Source organism: Homo sapiens, chromosome 15, assembly GCF_000001405.40.
Source record: "Homo sapiens chromosome 15, GRCh38.p14 Primary Assembly".
In the NCBI taxonomy this organism is placed as follows: domain Eukaryota; kingdom Metazoa; phylum Chordata; class Mammalia; order Primates; family Hominidae; genus Homo; species Homo sapiens.
In genome coordinates, this window is record NC_000015.10 from 22048886 (window position 1) to 22067537 (window position 18652).

Consider the following 18652-nt stretch of genomic DNA (forward strand, 5'->3'; position numbering starts at 1 on the left):
AAATCTAGGAGATATTTTTCTTGACATTGGCCTTGGGAAAAAAATTAGCTAAGTCCCCCCAAAGAAATTGCAACAAAACCAAAAATTGACAAGTGGGACCTGGGTAAACGAAAGTGCTTCTGTACAGAAAAAGAAACTATCAAGAGGGGAAACAGACAACTTACCGAATGGGAGAAAATATTTGCAAACTATGCATCTGACAAAGGTCTAATATCCCAAATGTAAATAGAACTTAAACAATACAACAGACAAAAAACAAATAGCCCTATTAATAATGGGAAAAGGACACGAATAGATCCTTCTCAATAAAAAGACATGCAAGGAGCCAACAAATATACAAAAAAATGCTTATCACTAATCATCAGAGAAATTCATACCAAAACCACAATAAGATACCATCTCATGCCAATCAGAGTGGCTGTTATGAAAAAGTCAAAAAACAACAGATGCTGGTGAGCCTGTAGAAAAAAGGGAGTGCTTGTACAGAGTTGTTGGGAATGTAAATTAGTTCAGCCTCTGTGGGCAAAATTTTGGAGACTTCTCAAATCACTTAGAACAAAGCTACTATTTGATCCAGCAATCCTTTTTTTTCCTCTCTCTCTCTCTCTCTGTGTGTGTGTGTATATATATATATAAAATATTTTATATATATATAATATTTTATATATATAATATTTTATATATATATAATATTTTATATATATAATATATTATATATATATATAATATATTATATATATATAATAGATTATGCCAAAAAGACCAAAAAGACACACACAGTTGTATGTTCTTTTCAGAACTATTCAGCAAAGACGGAATCAACCTAGGTGCCCATAAATGGTAGACTAGATAAAGAAAATATGGTACATACATTATCAGATACTACACAACCATACAAAAGAATGAAATCATGTCTTTTGCAGCAACATGAATGGAGCTTCAGGCAATAATCTTAAGCAAATTCATGCAAGAACAGAAATCCAAATACTACATGTTCTCACGTACCAGTGGGAGCTAAACATTAAGCACACATGGACATGTACATGGGAACGGTAGACACTGTGGACTACAAAAGGTGTGATGAAGGGTGGGGGGATGGGTTGGGAAACTACCTGTTGGGTACTATACTTACTACCTTGGTGCAATAAACCCACGTAACAAACCTGCACATGTACCCTCTGTATCTAAAATAAAAGTTGAAATTAAAAAAAGAATGAAAGGGAATGAATAAAGCTGATGTTTATAGGCCCTCCCAAAATTTCTGGCTCATAACATGCTTTCAAAGATTTTATAAAATCATTTTTAAATTTAATAATTTTTAAAATTTGGAATGGTTATAGATTTACAGAAATGTTGAATATCACATAATATAATTATACCTCATGCTATTTTCCTTATTGTTATATTACTATGGTACATTTGTCAAACTAATATTGATACATTATTACTAACTACATTGCACTTTTCATTCAGATTTCATTAGTTCTTAATGAAACGGCTTACTCAAGTTGTCTATTTTTTATTTATCATGGCAGTTATTTAATTTATTGCCGTTATGTCCTTTATATTCCCAAAAAACTTTTTGTAATTATTCTGTAAATAAATACTTGAAAATACTTGGTGAGCTTCCATTACTTACAGGAAATGGTGAAATCTATAACATAAATACAGTGCAGTTCTAGTTTTTATCTTTTTAAGTGAATATTTGACTTCCCCCCACCACTCTGTTCACATCTGTGCATGGTTTCTTATTTATTTATTTGACATGTAAAACTTGTATATATTTGTCATGTACATGATGTTTTGAAATAAATATGTCTACATAGTAAAATGGCTCAGTTGAGTTGATTAGCATATACATCCTAGCCCTACCAGTCTCTCCCTCTTATTTCATCAAACCTATACTTTCTTGTTTGCATGTTCTATCCTGCCTCAGATTCTGATACACATATGAGATTCTGTAGGGGTGTAGGGTCTGCATGGTGATAAGAAAATCTAGGATAATAACTAAGATTTCTCATACTACAACACCACTCTACACCTTAGGCCTTGTTCTAGTAGAAAAACTTGTTCCAAGATCAATTATCAATCCTAATTCCAATTTTTGCCCAGTCCTGCTCCACAGTTTGAACTTCTGAACTATGTGCAGCTTCCTCATATTTCTATGTTTCTGAACATGCTGCTACTTCTGCTGGAATTCTTGACCAACTTTTCACCTTCAATACTCTAATTAAAAGTGTTGTTTTCAGCCAGCTTTCAGCATGGTTTTACAAGGAGTTATTTAGTAGAGACTACACTTGCACCTCTGCCTAATCATATTCTCCAGCTGCTTACCCAATCACTTGTGCAGCATTTCTCTCAGGGTTTTGATGATGCATAAAGATTGCGGAGAGTTTCTTCCCTTTGGCATCCAGGAATGTAGAAGTCTTTTGCATACCAAGGTTAGAAGCTATGGCATGGTTGTAAACTCATAAAATACTATCTTTGTGAGGGAGAGAGAGAGAGGAGAGAGAGAAAGAGAAAACAAACTCAAGACCACTTTTTAGACTGTACAAGAGGAAATGTGGCATGTATATAAGAGAAGCATCATTATATAAATCTGTCTTTTAGTGTGCGTATCTTGGTATCAATCACATTTTTATTTCAAAGGCTTTTCTGATCCAAGATCTCGGATTGTTCAAATCCATGAGGTGGGACCACACTCAAGAAAAAGTCCAGGGTAAGCTTTCCATCTAGAATGATACCTTAACCACCAGTGAAAGAAGCAAGGTCAATTTTCATTGATTCAAATTATATTCAAAGGTAAATTCTTTACTTCTGTAAATTATTCACCTGCTTTACAACGTCTGTTCTAGTAATTAATTTAAGAATTAGTATATTACAATTTAAAGTGTGTATCAATATAATTTCAGTTGGAATTTAGTCCTAGGTTTACTAGGTTTACCACCATCAGTAAACTTAGATAATTTAATTCCCTCTCTTGACCTTATTTGTTTCCCAGTGGTTAGATGAGTGTGAAAAAATCAATCTCTAAAATCTCTTATACATAGATAAGTATAGGACTTAACAAATTATGCTTCAGTCTAAGATGATTTAAGGAGATCATTTAAAACTGCTGCTCTAAAATAAATGGTTTTATGTCAGGAATTGGGTCGTGCTCCTCGTTTTATATTCACAGTGCAGTACCAGACACAGATAATATGTTTAGTAAATATTAAGTGAAAGGATAAATTAATATTGGTACTTAAGAAATATAACTCAAATAGATGATACCTTAAGCAATCTATATATTGTGCTATGCTAACTCATTTGCAGATTTTTTTCAATATTTATCCTTATATTTCAGCTCCACAAAGACTAGTAATTGTTTCCTCAATTGGAGCCAATTAGAGGAACAGGATAGGATTAATAAGTAATAAAATAATGTCAGGTAACAAGAGACATAAAAACATGCACATGTGTTATAATGTCTCTATGAGGGATATTGAAGTCAAGAACACTATTGCACGAAAAGTTTTCCATGAGATAGAACTTGCTGTTAGGAAAGAGATCTAGAATAGTATATGGCTGCCCTTTGTAAATCCCTCATGAGAGGAACTAAGACAGTCTCTTTCCCAGAAGATTCCAAGAGTTGCATTCTTTGAAATTGTTCTATTGGAAATAATTTATGTAGGCTCATGGAGTTAAACAAAGGAGGAAACATTTTTCTTTAACTACGCAAATCTTATTTCAACTAATATATATTCTTTAGCATTGTCTTAGAGAGATCAAGTTTAACCTAAGAACCTGGGTAGACCAGTAGAAACAATCCACCCCATAGAGGCTCTGGTTCATAGAGTTCAGACGTCTGATACTGGTGTTCCTGAAATTCTACCACAAAAATGATCAAGAGTTAGTTTGGCAGATTGTTTATTGCTTTTTTGTCCATTATCTAATTTGAGTCTTACCATGGGTAGCATTATCTCACAGGGGAGATTAGTAGATGCTAGAAAAATTATGTTAATGTTACACAGTCTGAAGAGGCAGAGCTGTGAGTTGTTCTATCTTTAAATCTTGTGCAGTTTCTCCCAGCAAAGATAGCAAAAAGATCTTGGGTCCTAGACTATGATTAATTTGATGAACTCCTCAGGAGGAGTCTAGATAAAGTTGAGTTGTCACCACTCAGGGTGAATAGATCAGCTTCCCAAACATCTTTGGGCATCCATGCTTGAACTCTTAAATACATCTATGCAAGAATATAGAATGTACTCTGTTGCTGCTCCAGTCAAAGGAGTATACTTGGGAGGGTAGGTGTGAGCAGTAGATACAGTCTAAGATTTGGACAAGCATAAGCATGCATATAGGTGAGAATCAGGAGATTAACATAGTAAGGAGGTTAGTGTTCTAAGATGACTCCTATCCAGGCTTCTGTCTCTCCTTCCAATCAACATTTTCTCTGATAGCAAAGATGGATAATGATAATTATATATTTGCTTAAAGTATGTTATGCACATAAGTGCTTTATATGTAATATATTTAATATGTATAACACTCTATATAAATGTACTATTCTTATCCACATTTTACACTTGAGAAAACTGAGGCAAAGGGAAGTGAAGTAACTTGCCTAAAGTCATAAAGTTAGTAAATGCTGAAGCTGAAATTTGAAAGTAGACCAGTTAGGGTTCCAGGCATCTTTTTCACAACTTCTCTCCCCCACCTTCCATCGCAGCTACTCTACTCCTGTGGCTGGATCTTTCTTTATGGCACCCCAATTAATTCAATTGCTAACTTTTAAGCTTAACACACAAGACTCTGTAATCTAGACTTGCCTTCTTGTCAGCCTCATCTCCTGACACTTTCCTATGTGGATTGTGTGCTGAATCATACTCAACTTGCTGGCACTCCCCAAAGAGGATGGTGTAATGATTTTTACCTTCACATATTCTATTTGCTAGGCCTGGAAAGTTCTTCCTGCCCTGTCTATTCTTTTGTGCCCACACCCTGCAATCCTCATCATCATCAGGTTAACTCTAACTCATCTATCAGAATTCCACTCAGTGACAACGTTTGAAAAGGCAGTCCTGTCTCTCCTGGGCTTCCTTCCTGAGCCCCTTCACAGAGAACTGTCACAGTTTACATGTGGACCTCCTCCACTTGATTGAGAATACTTGCCAAATCAAATAATGACTGAATGAATGATCAGTATCACATCACTTGTTATTACATCCCCACTGTAAATTTAATTTGAGAAAAGTTGGCACAGACTCTATGCTGTGATGATCTTGCTAGTTGCAGCTATAGTCTTTGTCTCTAAATAGTGTATATAATTAAAAAAAACTTTTCATGATTAGAAGAAAAGGAGTCTTTTGATTATTGTAGAAGGTTTAAGGCTTTCAAATGAGAAACATATTTGGTGGCTTTGATGCCATCAGACCCAGGATATGCATAGTAGTTAGGAAAATAGATCCTGAAGACTCATTGCGTGGGTTCAAATACCAACTCTGCCAATCACTAGATCTATAACCTTGGGCAAGTTACTTACTCTTTCTGTGCTTCAGTTTCCTCATTTCTGAAGTGGGAATAGTAGTGATGGACTACTTTATAAGATCATTGTGGGAGTTAAATGAGCTATATGTAAAACATCTAGAATCAAACTTGGCATATAGTAAGTACAATGTGTTTTCTGTTTACCTAAACATTTTTTCAGCCCTTATGATTTTGCCAACTGGTGATGACTGAGCGCAATTTGACTTTGCTGGTATAGGACGCCGATTATTTAAAGATTTTAGGAATGTGAAACATATTCTCCAATTGAAGGACTTTGCACGATAAGGAAGCAATTGTTTAAATTCAATTCTTTTTGTGGTGGCAGGTGACAGTAATCCCAGCTACTTGGGAGGCTGAGGCAGGAGAATCACTTGAACCCAGGAGGCGGAGATTGCAGTGGGCCGAGATCACGCTGTTGCACTCCAGCCTGGGTGACACAGTGACACTTCCTCTCCAAAAAATAATAGTAATTAAAAAATAAAATAAAGAATAAGTTCAGTTCTTTTTATGAGAAATTTATCTATCTAATCTTTCTATCTACCTATGATTTATTTAAGGATATGTCAGTTATGTGTGTTCTGGAGAAAGAATACCACAATTATACCAGTCCTTTTACGGAAAATTATATTGGGCAATTTGCCTCTTTAATCTTTAGTGCTGCTCTGTAAAAAGGAGATAATAAAAATTATTATATTGTTGTGAGGATGGAATTAAATAACATATGCAGAGTTTAGCACACGATTCTGCACATGGTAAAATGCTCAGTAAATGTTAGCTACTATTAATGATATTTCTTTAATGGAGATTGGCAGATATTATAGCTATTATCTCAGAAATAAAATTGTATATGTTTTTAATATTTTCTAGTAGTTACATTATATAGCTTTTATATAATAACTAAATACACCAAATTACAAATTATGCTTACTAGAGAGATTCCACTTGATAGATTCTAATTAAAAGGAAACACCTCATAAATTCAAAACATGTTCTATAGATCTCATTTGAATTCTGAAACAGCTTTGTGAGGTAAAAAATTTTATCATTCGTCTTCTATAGGTGAGAAAACTGAGATCCAGGGAAGATAAATAGATTTACCCAAAGTTATAAAGCTGATGAGGGCACTCAAACTTACACCACTCAGCTTCTGGGCAGTGCTCTTTCTGCTCTCCATGCAGAAAAGAGGTATTCTGAGTAAAGACGGAAAATAGCTAGTAATTTTCATATTTCAGAAAAGCCATTTTTATTTCAAGAAACTTCAGATCTTGTCTAATATTAATCTCCTTTAAGAATTTTTTCCTGATTATTTTTATCCATTATTTTTCTCTGTATGATGCAAGGATTCCTATTACAGTTTATAAAATGGCTTCAGACACTTATTTTTAAACTATCATTTATAACATTATCTGTATGATAAATTTCATTCCTAATTTTTCCTGTGATCACAAGGACAGAGAGTTATCTGGGTCTTTTTCAAGGCAAAGGGATTGAGGATGACAGGGACCTGCAAAGGGATTGAGGATGATAGGGAACTCAGTAACTTTAAAATGTTTCAACTCTTCAGAGCAACATAGAAAAAAGTATTTCTCTGTATAAGTTGATCACTTCTCATGTATTCCTTACTGGCAAGCAAAATGGAATTTTCAAACTGCAGGTCCAGGCTTATGATTCAAATTTCCTCAATGTTGATTTATAAGCACTAAAAATGACTTAATTTTTAATTGAATTGAGACTTTTAATCTAATTGAGAAATTGGAAACTGAGTCTTCCTCTCTTGATTAAATAAAATGTTACTTTTCTATAGGTGAGTAGCATACATTATATTTGAAGGATTCTGAAATTTTATACATCAGATCTTATACTCTGACTTCATGCTTTTATTTACAGCCTCAAAAAATTAATTTATTTATTTAAACAAAGTTCTCACTCCAAAGTAAATTTCTGACAAGAGAAGTTGGAGGTGGGGGGAGAGAGAGCACTGATTAGGGAAAAACATTAAATTCAATAAAAAAGACTCAGATTCTCTAGGTTCTTGTATGGAAAAGAGGAACTATAAGACTAATTATGAAAGAAATTCAAATGTGAGTCAATAGTGTGGAAATCAAGCTAAAGACAAGAAAAATATTCATGAACTATGTTCAAGAAATATGAAGAACTTTCTCTACCATATTTAACATCATATAGGTGTTTTCACAAGACTCTTATTGATAGGCTTTACTATGCTTACCACGGTTTATAACGTGTTTATTTTTGCAGAGAACCAGAGTCACTCCACGAGTCCTGCCTGGGGCCCCATGAAAGTGGCCAACAATGTCACTGAGTTTATATTCCTGGGACTTTCCCAAGATTCTGGAATGCAATTGATGTTCTTTGTCTTATTTCTCCTCTTCTACGTCGTGATCATGGTGGGAAATTTGCTCATTTTGCTTATGGTCTTTTCTGACTCCCGACTACACACACCCATGTATTTCTTCCTCAGTAACCTGTCTTTTGTGGACATTGCCTATTCCTCACCCACAGCACCCAAGATGATTGAAGACTTTGTTTCTGAGAAAAAGACTATTTCCTACTGGGGCTGTATAACTTAGATGTTTACCTTCCACTTTTTTGGTTGTGCTGAGATTTTTGTTTTGACTGTCATGGCTTTTGATCGCTATGCTGCTATCTGCCAATCCCTCCGTTACACTGTCATCATGAGTGCTAATGCTTATACTGTGCTGGCATCACTGTCCTGGTTGGGGGCCCTGGGTCATTCCTTTGTTCAGACCCTCCTGACCTTCCAGCTGCCCTTCTGTAATGCTCAGGTTATAGACCATTACTTTTGTGATGTCCACCCAGTCCTAAAACTTGCCTGTGCTGATACAACTCTGGTAAATATGTTGGTGGTTGCCAACAGTGGTCTCATCTCCCTGGGGTGTTTCCTCATTCTTTTGGCCTCCTACACAGTCATTCTGTTTAGTCTTCAAAAACAGTCTGCAGAGAGCTGACACAAAGTTCTCTCTACCTGTGGATCTCATCTGACTATAGTAACTTTCTTCTTTGTTCCGTGTATCTTTATTTATCTCCATCCACTACTTTCCCATTGGATAAAGCTGTGTCTGTGTTCTATACCACCATCACCCCAATGCTGAACCCACTCATCTATACTCTGAGGAATGAGGAGTAAAGAATGCCATGAGGCGGCTATGGAGTAGCAAGATCTCCTTGAAGGAAAAGCAGAGAGGATAGTTTGTCAGAATTGCAAAATCACTGAATTAGTGGATACCTTCAATGATCCCTAATTTACTAATAATTAAAAAAACAGTTCCTAAAATGCAGCTTTTATATTTTGTCTAACAGGAAATAATTTGAGGCTATTTTAGACGGGCTAAACTTAAACCTTTCCATACTTGGCAAGGTTTATTCTCTCTTCTAGAGTACAAGAGTTAACACTCCTACTCAATATCTCATTTAACCTCGTTAAATCCCTTCTATTCACATCAAACTCTCTTAAGCTACCATTCAGTAATTTAGAGTGGGGTTATAAGAGAAAGATATCCCTGATCATATCTTCTCACCATATCATGTCTCTTCAAAAAAGAGGTCTAATTTACCAGAAGCTGCACCTTTTCCCTCCTTCTTTTGTTTTCTTTTTCGTCCTTCTCTAGTCTTTTCTTATACATATTGCAAAATCTAGTCAGGGAAACAGATTTGCAAGGAGATAATTACAATACAATACAACAAATGCAGACATAGAAATACATACTTCCTATAATGAAGAGGGTTAGTATAAATCAACAAATTGCCCAAAGGATGGTTTCTGTGCAGGAAAAAAAAAAATAGAACTTTACATATTTTGAGGTGGACAGCAATTTCTTCAAAGACCCTCTTGGAGAATTTGAATACTCTTCTACCCATTACTATAATACTATCTTTACTGAAAGAAATCTTACTTTTTTGCCAATAAAAACAGACTAGATTAAAGCAACTAAAATGAGTTGGTATTTGTACCATTGAAATGACTAAGGAGATGTAATTCTATTATAAATTTTTAGTTGAACTTGTCTTCAGTTCCTTAAAACAACAAAATGGAATAAGCACATTTTCTTCTTGTGGTATTCTTAGTAAAGTTGAAAAATAGTTAAGTATTCTCAGTATTCTGGAAAAGGCATTTTTCTTCTAAGAAATTTTGTTAGATCTTGTCTCATGACTGATGTTGTTCAAGAATTCTGTCCTGATTATTTTTGTTCAACATTTATTTTCTGTATGCCTTAAGCAATCCTGTATGCAATTTATAAAATATCACTTACCTTTTTCTCTTTTTTAGTGGATTTTTATCTGAGATCTACAACTTATGAAGAATACAAATGATGTATATTCTTTTCTACTCTTCATGTATGGACTAGAGGGGCTTGCACAGTAGGTACTTGTCAAAATCTGTTGATTGTAACTCCAATTTCTATTTTTTTCCTTAGTAATGGGGACCTGACATTATTCATGGTGGACCAACTAAAATATTGCATTGACTTGCCTCAGGCTCTTTTAAACTTCAATTCAATAATTTAGAATGACCTTATAAGAAAAAGATATTCCTTTTGAAGCCCAGTGGACAATCTGATGTTAATAGTAGTTGGTTGGTGGGACTTTTGAAAAGTCTTTAAAATGGTTTGTCTACTCCAGCCCTCTCATACATGATCACCATTAACATTTTGATTATTAAAATTTCTTTATAGTTATTGCATGTCCTTATAGTTATTTTCATATTACTTTCCCTTTGCAAAAGGGTCATTCTATCCTTTTTTTAAACTCCTGATTTTTTAAGATAGACAACAAACCCACAAATTATATTAAAAATGATAGAATACATTAGGTTTCCTTTTCCCTCCTAAGAGCAAAGTATTAATAATAAAAATAACAACACTTGCAGTAAGAAAAAAATGGCTGAGACCCACAGGAACAAAGAAACAGGACAGGAGTTAGATGCAGAGAAGAGATTTCAACAAAAGTTTGGAAAAGGTAAGACAAAAAAGTAGTAACTGATTTGGCAGGGTCGGGAAGGCTAAGTCTAAATTCCCAACAAGAGGAATAGTGAGGAAAAGGGGAGAGATTCATTTCCTGGAATCCCTACGATGATTGGGATGCAGGATGCCAGGTCAGCGGGAGGTGAGGTTCAGGGCTGCTAATGAAGATTAAGAGAAAGGAACAGTTCAATCTTCTATCCTCTCTTTCTGCTCCCAGATGCTAACGGTAGCATATGAGTCACAGACAGAACATTGGCACCTTTGTTTAAGAAACTGAATGTTAATGTCACATCTGCCTTTGGAGATTACAAATGAAATGGCTACCTTTCTACTGGAACCCTGACCAGAAGTCTGCCAGTTAGTAAGCTGGCTTAAGAGATCAATCTAAAATTTACATAAGGCTTTTGAAAAAAAGAAAAAAGTAAGTCTTTAAAAAAGCCAAAAGGAAACTGGTGGAATTAGAGGTAATTCGGGGCGGGGGGGGGGGAACTGTAAAAAACTGTATCTTCTCATCAATGAAAGAAAATATTTGTAATCTTGAAATAAGAATATGATGTACTGAAAAAATATAGAAAAATTATTTTTGGAAGGTAAAATCAAAAAGAACAATAAACAAAATTAATATGGCATTAAAAGAAATAAAACAAGTAGTCAAAGAAGTCATAAAAGTACAGTCTCTATGAAAGTAGAATGAAAATGTCAAAGAAATAGAAAACATGAAAGATAAAAACAAGAAACACAAGGAATCAAGTTAGGGGCAAACCATTCAACTCACACATATTCCAGGAGGACAAATTAAACAGAAGGATGGATTTAAAAGAAACAATGAAAATAAATTTCTTAGAACAGAAAAGCTTAATTTTCTCGATATGAAAGATTTACTGAATGCCCACCACAAGATTTAAAAAAAATCCCAAGGCACGTTATTATGAAATTTTATCACCTTAACGATTGAAAATATTGTAAAATTATTAAGAAAAAACCGTATAGCTCACGAATGAACAGAAATTCAAATGGCATGAGTATGCTCTGTAGCAAGCTCATCCTTAGAATACAGTGGAAAAGTTTCTCACACTGATTTTCAGGCTAGAATTCTATACAGAACAAATCTATCAGGAAGATAGAATAAAGCATATTTAATCATACAAAAATTTATAAAGTTTACTTCATAAGTACTCTCTTTTTTTGAAAGTGTGGGATAATATATCCCAGCAAAACAAGAGGAAGAAATGAGATCAATAAACTAATATATGCAATGCAGGGTGGCTAAAGCCACTTTAAAAAAAATCCCAATCTCTTTTTTCTTTCTTCATGTGAGTCAGGTAATGTATATATGTCATAAGGTTTGAGGGAGGTACATTTCACACAGGAGTGCAAAAACTCAGTCATCACGCTTATGAACTACGAAGGGATCAAAAGGCACTTTTAAGATGACAGATGTACAGTAGGCATAGGAGACAACAGAAATGGATGAAAGCAGAAGATGGAAGCCCTCCAGGTTCATAAAACAGAAAGGAGAGGGTGAAAATTTATATTATCTAATATATTGAAGCATCTTAGTTGTAAAGGTACAGTCAATAAGATGAAACAAGTTGATACACTCAAGGAAGGATACATTTATAGAAAATTATATCATTTAGAGTTCCAACAGGAAGTTAATGACACACTTAATATAGGATAATTTGATAAACATTTATTTAACGAGATGCTGTCTATGAATTTATAGGTATAGAGTACCACACAGGCCAGGGGTAAGATGGGGTGGAGCTGTTTACACCATTGTGCCTGAAGGGACTGAGAGAGGGAGGAAATACAGAAACCCCAAAAAGAGATATTTATGATAGCCATTTGAAAGGAGGAATGAACTTCAGTGGGAGGTCAACCAGCATGTGGCCACATGGTCTAGCTTATTCTCCTTCATTCCCCTTTTCCAGTTTTATTGAAGTATATTTGACAAATAAGAATCATACATATTTAAATGTGCAACTTGATGTTTTGAACTATGTGTACACTGTGAAAAGATCATCACACTTAAGATAATTAACATATCCATTACCTCACAGGGTTATGTTTTTCTGTGTGTGGTGTGAACCCTTAAGATCTACTCCCTTAGTACATTTCAGTTGTCCAATACAGTATTGCATTGTAATACAGACACCATGTTGTGCATTAACTCTCCAGAACTCACTCATTTTTGCATAACTGAAACTTTGTAACCTTTAGTCCATTATCTCCTCATTTCTCCCTTTCCTTTCCACTCTTGGCAACCGCCATCCTACCTTCAGTTTGAGTATTTTAGATTCCACACATAAGTGAGATCATGCAGTATTTGTCCTTCTGTAAGTTGCTTTTTAAAGGCTGAATAATACTCCATTGCATATATATACTACAATTTTCTCAGGCTTTATTGAGGTATGATTTACAAATAAAATTTGCATATATTTAGGGTATATGCATACTTACGAAATGATTACCACAACCAAGCTAATTAATATATTCATCATGTTACATCATTACCATTTGCGTATAATGTGTGTATGTGTGTGTGTTAACACTTGAGATCTACTTTCTTAGCAAATTTGAAGCTACTGTACATTTGGTCTCCAGTACTTACTCATCTTGTAGCTGAAAGTTTGTACCCTTTGACCAACATCTTTTTCCTGGCATTTCCCAGCCCCTGCTAACCACCACTCTACTGTCCATTGCTATGAGTTTGATTTTTTTAAATATTGCACCTGTATGGGATATCATGTAGTATTTGTCGTTATGTATCTGGCTTATTGCACTTAGCATAATGTCCTCCAGGTTTATCCATGTGGCAAATGGCAGGATTTCCTTCTTTTTAAGGCTGAATAATCCATTGTGTGTGTTTGTACCACATTAAAAAAATCTATGCATCTGTAGATGAACACTTAGTTTGTTTCTATATCTTGGCTAGTGTTACAATGCTGCAGTGAATTTGAGAGTGCAGATATCTCTTTAAGATAGTGGTTTTATTTCTTTTGCATACGTACCTAGAAGTGGGATTGCTGTTATTATATGAGAAGTTTATTTTTTTTTTTTTGAGGAGCCTACATACTGTCTTCAATAATGGTTGCACTAATTTATATCTCTACCAAAAGTTTACAAGGGTTTTGTATTAGTCCGTTCTCACACTGCTAATAAAGACATATCTGAGACTAGGTAATTTATATAGGAAAGAGGTTTAACTGACCCACATTTCAGCATGGCTGGGAAGGCCTCAGGAAACTTATAGTCACAGTCATGGTGGAAGAGGAAGCAAACATGTCTTTCTTCACATGGTGGCAAGAGAGAGAAGACTGAGAACTGAGTAAAGGATAAAGCCCCAGGTAAAGTCATCAGATCTTGTAAGAACTTACTCACTATCACAAGAATAGCATGAGAAAACTGCCCCCATGATTCAATTACCTTTCACTGGGTCTCTCCCATGACATGTGAGGACTACGGGAAATATAATTCAAGATGGGATTTGGGTGGGGACACAGCCAAACCATATCAGGTTTCCTTTACATCCTTGCCAACACATGCTATCACTGGACTTTTTGATAAAAGGCAATCTAACAGGTGGTTGGTGATATCTCAGTGAGGTTTTGATTTGCCTTGATGATTTCTGATTTTGAGCATTTTTTCCATATACCTGTTGGCCATTTGTGTATCTTCTTTGGAAAAATATCTATTCAGATCCTTTGCCCATTTTATGAAATCATTTTAAAAATATCTTTTGCCCATTTAGAAGCTTGTTTGTTTGCTATTTGGTAGTATAAGTTCTGTATATATTTTGGATATTAACTCCTTATTGGATGTGTGGTATACAAATATTTTCTCCCTTTCTGTAGATTTCTCTTTCATCAAGCAAATAAAGATGAGACCAATGTCCAGGAACTTTTCCCCATGTTTCCTCCTAGGAGTTTATGGGGCCAGGTCTTATGTTAAGTCTATAATCCACTTTGAATTAACTTTTGTGATTGGAATAAGAGAAGCACGGATTCTTTGCATGTGGATATCCAATTTCCCAACATCATTTATAGACGAGTCTGTCCTTTACATTGTATATTCTTGGTACCTTAGTTGAAAAAATTAGCTGACTGTAGGTATGTGAGTTTAGTTCTGAGCTTTCTATTCTGTTTTATTGGTATACATGTTTTTATGCCAGCAACATCTGTTTTGATTATTACAGTTTTGTAATGGAGTTGAAATCAGGAAGTTTAATACCTCTAGCTTTGTACTTATACTCAAGATTGCTTAAGCTTTTCATGCTCTTTTATGGTTGCATATGAATTTCAGAATTATTTTTTCCATTGCTGTGAAAAATGTTCATTGCCATTTTGATCGGGATTGCGTTGAATGTACAGATCATTTTCAGTAGTATGGACTTTTTAACAATATTAATTCTTCCAGTTCATGAATATGGGATATGTTTCACTTATTTTTGTCTTCCACAATTTATTTCATTAATCTTTTATACTTTTCAGTGTACAGATATTCTATCTCTTTAGTTAAATTTATTTGTAAGTATTTTATTCTTTTTGATGTGCTCATAATGATAACTTTTTCTTGACTTTTTCTTTCTATAGATCATTATTGGTGTAAAGAAATGCAACTGAATTTTTCTGTTGATTTTGTAGTCTGCAAAATTACTGAATTTGCTTATTAGTTCTAACAGTTTTTTAGTGGAGTCTTCAGGATTCTTTCTACATAGGATCATGCCATCTTCTAACAGAGACACTAACTTTTTTATTTGGATGCACTTTATTTCTTTTTCCTAATTACTTTGGTTATGACGTCCAGTACTATGTTGAATGGAAGTGGGGAGAGTGGTCTTGTTCTTGATCTTAGAGGGAAACATTTCAATTTCTCATCGAGTATAATGTTTATCATAGGCTTGTGATATACAGGCTTTATTGTGTTGAGGTACATTCCTATAATTTGTTGAAAATTTTGTATTGTGAAAGAATGTTGAATTTTGTCAAATGATTTTTCTGCATTTGTTTAGATGATCTCATGGTTTTTATTTCTTATTCTGTTAATGTGGTGTAGCACATTTGTTGATTGTGTATGTTGGATAATTCTTACATCCCAGGAATAAATCCTACTTTGTCGTGATGCAAAATCTTTTTAATGTCCTGGTATATTTGGTTTGCCAGTAGTTTGTTGAGGATTGTTGGACCTTTGTTCACAAGGGACATTGGCCTATAATCTATATTTCTTGTTGGTGTCCTTATCTGGGTTTGGTATGAAGGCAGCGTTGGCATTGTAAAATGAGTTTTAAAATATCCCCTCCTCTTCAACTTTTTGGAAGGATTTTAGAAGGATAGGTATTAGTTCTTTTCAAAATATTTGGTAGAATTCAACTATGAAGCCATCAGGTCCTAGGATTTTCTTTGATAGGAGATTTTATTATTGATTCAATCTCCTTACTCATTACTGTTAAGATTTTCTAGCTCTTCATGATTCAGTCTTGTAGGCTGTATGTGTCTAGGAATTTATCCATTTCTTCTAGGCTATCCAATCTTTTGACTTGTAATGGTTCATAGTATTATCTTATGATTCTTTATATTTTTTGTAGCATCAGTTGTAATGTTTCCTTTTTCATTTTGGCTTTTATTTATTTAAGTCTATTTTTTCTCAGTGTAGATCAAGTATTGTTGATTTTATTTATATTTCCAAAAATCAATCTTAGTTTCATGATCTTTTCTACTGTTTCTCTAGTCTCACTTTCATTGATTTCTTTTCTAATCTTTGTTATGTCCTTTTTTTCTAACTTTGGGCTTAGTTTGTTCTTTTTTTAGTTCATTGAGCTGTAATGTTAGGTTGTTAATTTGAGACCTTTCGTCTTTTTTTTGTAAACATTTATTACTATACATTTCTCCCTTAAAACTACTTTTGCTGCATCCCATACCTTTTTGTATGTCATGTCCATTTTCATGTGTCTCAAGATATTTTTACATTTACCTTTTGACTTCTTTTTTTGGCCCATTGGTGGTTGTTTAATTTCCATATGTACATGAATTTTCCAGTTTTCCTGTTATTATTGATTTTAGTTTCATACCACTACGGTCAGAAAATATATTTGATATGATTTCAGTCTTCTGAAATTTGTTAAGACTTGTTTGTGGCTTAACATACAATCTGTCCAGGAGAATATTCTGTGTAAGCTTGAGAAGAATGTGTGTTCTGCTGTTGGATCAAATATTCCGTGTATGTCTATTAGATTCATTTAGTCTGAAGTAGTTCAAGACAATGTTTTCTTAATAATATTCTTTCTGGATGATTTATCCATTGTTGAAAATCAGATATTAAAGTTCTCTATTATTGCATTGCAGTCTATCTCTTGCTTTAGATTTGTTAATATTTGCTTTATATATTTAGGTGCTCTGATGTTGGGTGTATTCATATTTATAACTGTTCTATTATCTTGATGAATTGACTTTCTTACCAATATCTAATGACCTTCTTTGTCTCTTGTGACAGTATTTAAAGTCTATTTTGTGTGATACACATGTAACTGCTACTGCTCTTTTTTGGTTTTCATTTTCATGGAATATTTTTGTTTTTTATCCCTTTACTTTTAGTCTATGTGTGTTATTAAAGGTGAAGTGAGTTTCTTGTAGGCAGCATTTAGTTGGATCTTATTTTTATAAATCAATTCAGCCACTTTTTGTCTTTTGATTGACAAAATTTGCTTATTTATAGTTGGTAAGTAAAGATTTATTATTGTCAATTTATTGTTTTCTGGTTGCTTTGTAGGTCCTTTATTCCTTTATTACTCCTTTGTTGTTTTCCTTTGTGATTTGATCATTTTCCTCGGTGGTATGCTTTGATTCTTTTCTGTTTATCTTTTGTGTATTTACTATAGGTTTTTAATTTGTGGTTGCCATGAGGCTTACATAAATATTCTTATTGTTTTACCAATTCACTTAAAGACGATAACATCTTCACTTTGATTGCTAAAGAAGCTCTGTACTTTTACTTCCCTTCTCTTACATTGTGCTTTTGATGTTACAGTTTACATTTTTTATATGTCTTAAGAATTTATTATAGCTATAGTCATTTTTCATACATTCATCTTATAACTTTATAATGATGTTGTGATTTACACCACCACCATTATGGTGCTTGAATATTCTAAATTTAACCATATATATACTTTACCAGTTAGTTTTATATTTTTATATGTTTTAATGTTACTAATTAGCTGCCTTTTATTTAATCTTAAAAATCCCCCTTTAGCATTTCTTGTAAGGCAAGCAATAGTGAAGACTCACTCAACTTTTCTTTTTTTTTTCTAAAAAAGTCTTTATCTTCTTCATTTCTGAAGGACAGCTTTGCTGGCAAAATATTGCTGGTTGGCAGTTTTATTTTTCTTCCATTGCTTTGAATATATTATTTCATTCTCTCCTGATCCTCAAGGTTCCTGCTGAGAAATCCACTGATAGCTTTATTTGGGTCCTTTTTTATATGACATGATTCTTTTCTCTTGCTGCTTACAAGCTTCTCTCTTTGTTTTTGATTTTTGCCAGGTTGACGATAATGTATGTTTGTGGATTCTTTTTTTGGTTGAATTGACTGGAGAACTTTAGGCTTCATGCATCTGGATGCTCATTTCTTTCCTGACATTTGCTAAGTTTCCTATGATTATTTCCTTAAATAAGCTTTCTATCTAATGCTCTCTCTATTTTTCTTCTGAACCTACTATAATTCTAATGTTAGCTCTCTTGATAGTATTCCATGGCTTCTGTAGGTTTTATTCTTTTTTTTCTTTTATCTCCACTTACTGGATGATTTAAAATGCTCGGTCTTTGAGTTCACTTATTTTTTTATTCTGCTTCACTTAGTCTGATGTTCAAGCCTCTATTACATTTTTTTAGTTTAGCTGTTGTATTTTTCAGCTCCAACATTTCTGTTTGGTTCTTTTTAAAATATTTTCTGTCTCTTTATTGAGCTTCTCATTTTGTTCTTGGATTGTCTTCCTGATTTCATTAAACTATTTATTTGTGTTCTCTTGTAGTTCCCCAAGATTCCTTAGGCAATTATTTTGATTTTTTCCAGGCAATTTATAGATCTCCAATTCTTTGGGGTTGGTTACTAGAAATTAATTTTGT

General features: G+C 33.9%; 1 long non-coding RNA gene, 1 other non-coding gene and 1 pseudogene across 3 annotated transcripts in view; 2 read left to right on the forward strand and 1 right to left on the reverse strand.

Annotated features, from left to right (window-relative positions):
• Positions 1-18652, forward strand: part of OR4M2-OT1 (OR4M2 overlapping transcript 1) — a 105539-nt gene that overhangs the window by 58806 nt on the left and 28081 nt on the right. For both annotated transcript variants that reach the window (NR_110480.2, NR_110481.2), the window contains 3 exons: positions 9836-9931; positions 10436-10524; positions 10747-10950. This is a non-coding gene — a long non-coding RNA (OR4M2 overlapping transcript 1). The remainder of the gene's footprint in view (positions 1-9835; positions 9932-10435; positions 10525-10746; positions 10951-18652) is intronic.
• OR4H6P (olfactory receptor family 4 subfamily H member 6 pseudogene) lies at positions 8018-8653 on the forward strand (annotated as a pseudogene).
• Positions 11842-11942, reverse strand: LOC124903611 (small nucleolar RNA U13). The gene has a single exon (XR_007064836.1). It is a non-coding gene; the product is annotated as a small nucleolar RNA U13 (small nucleolar RNA).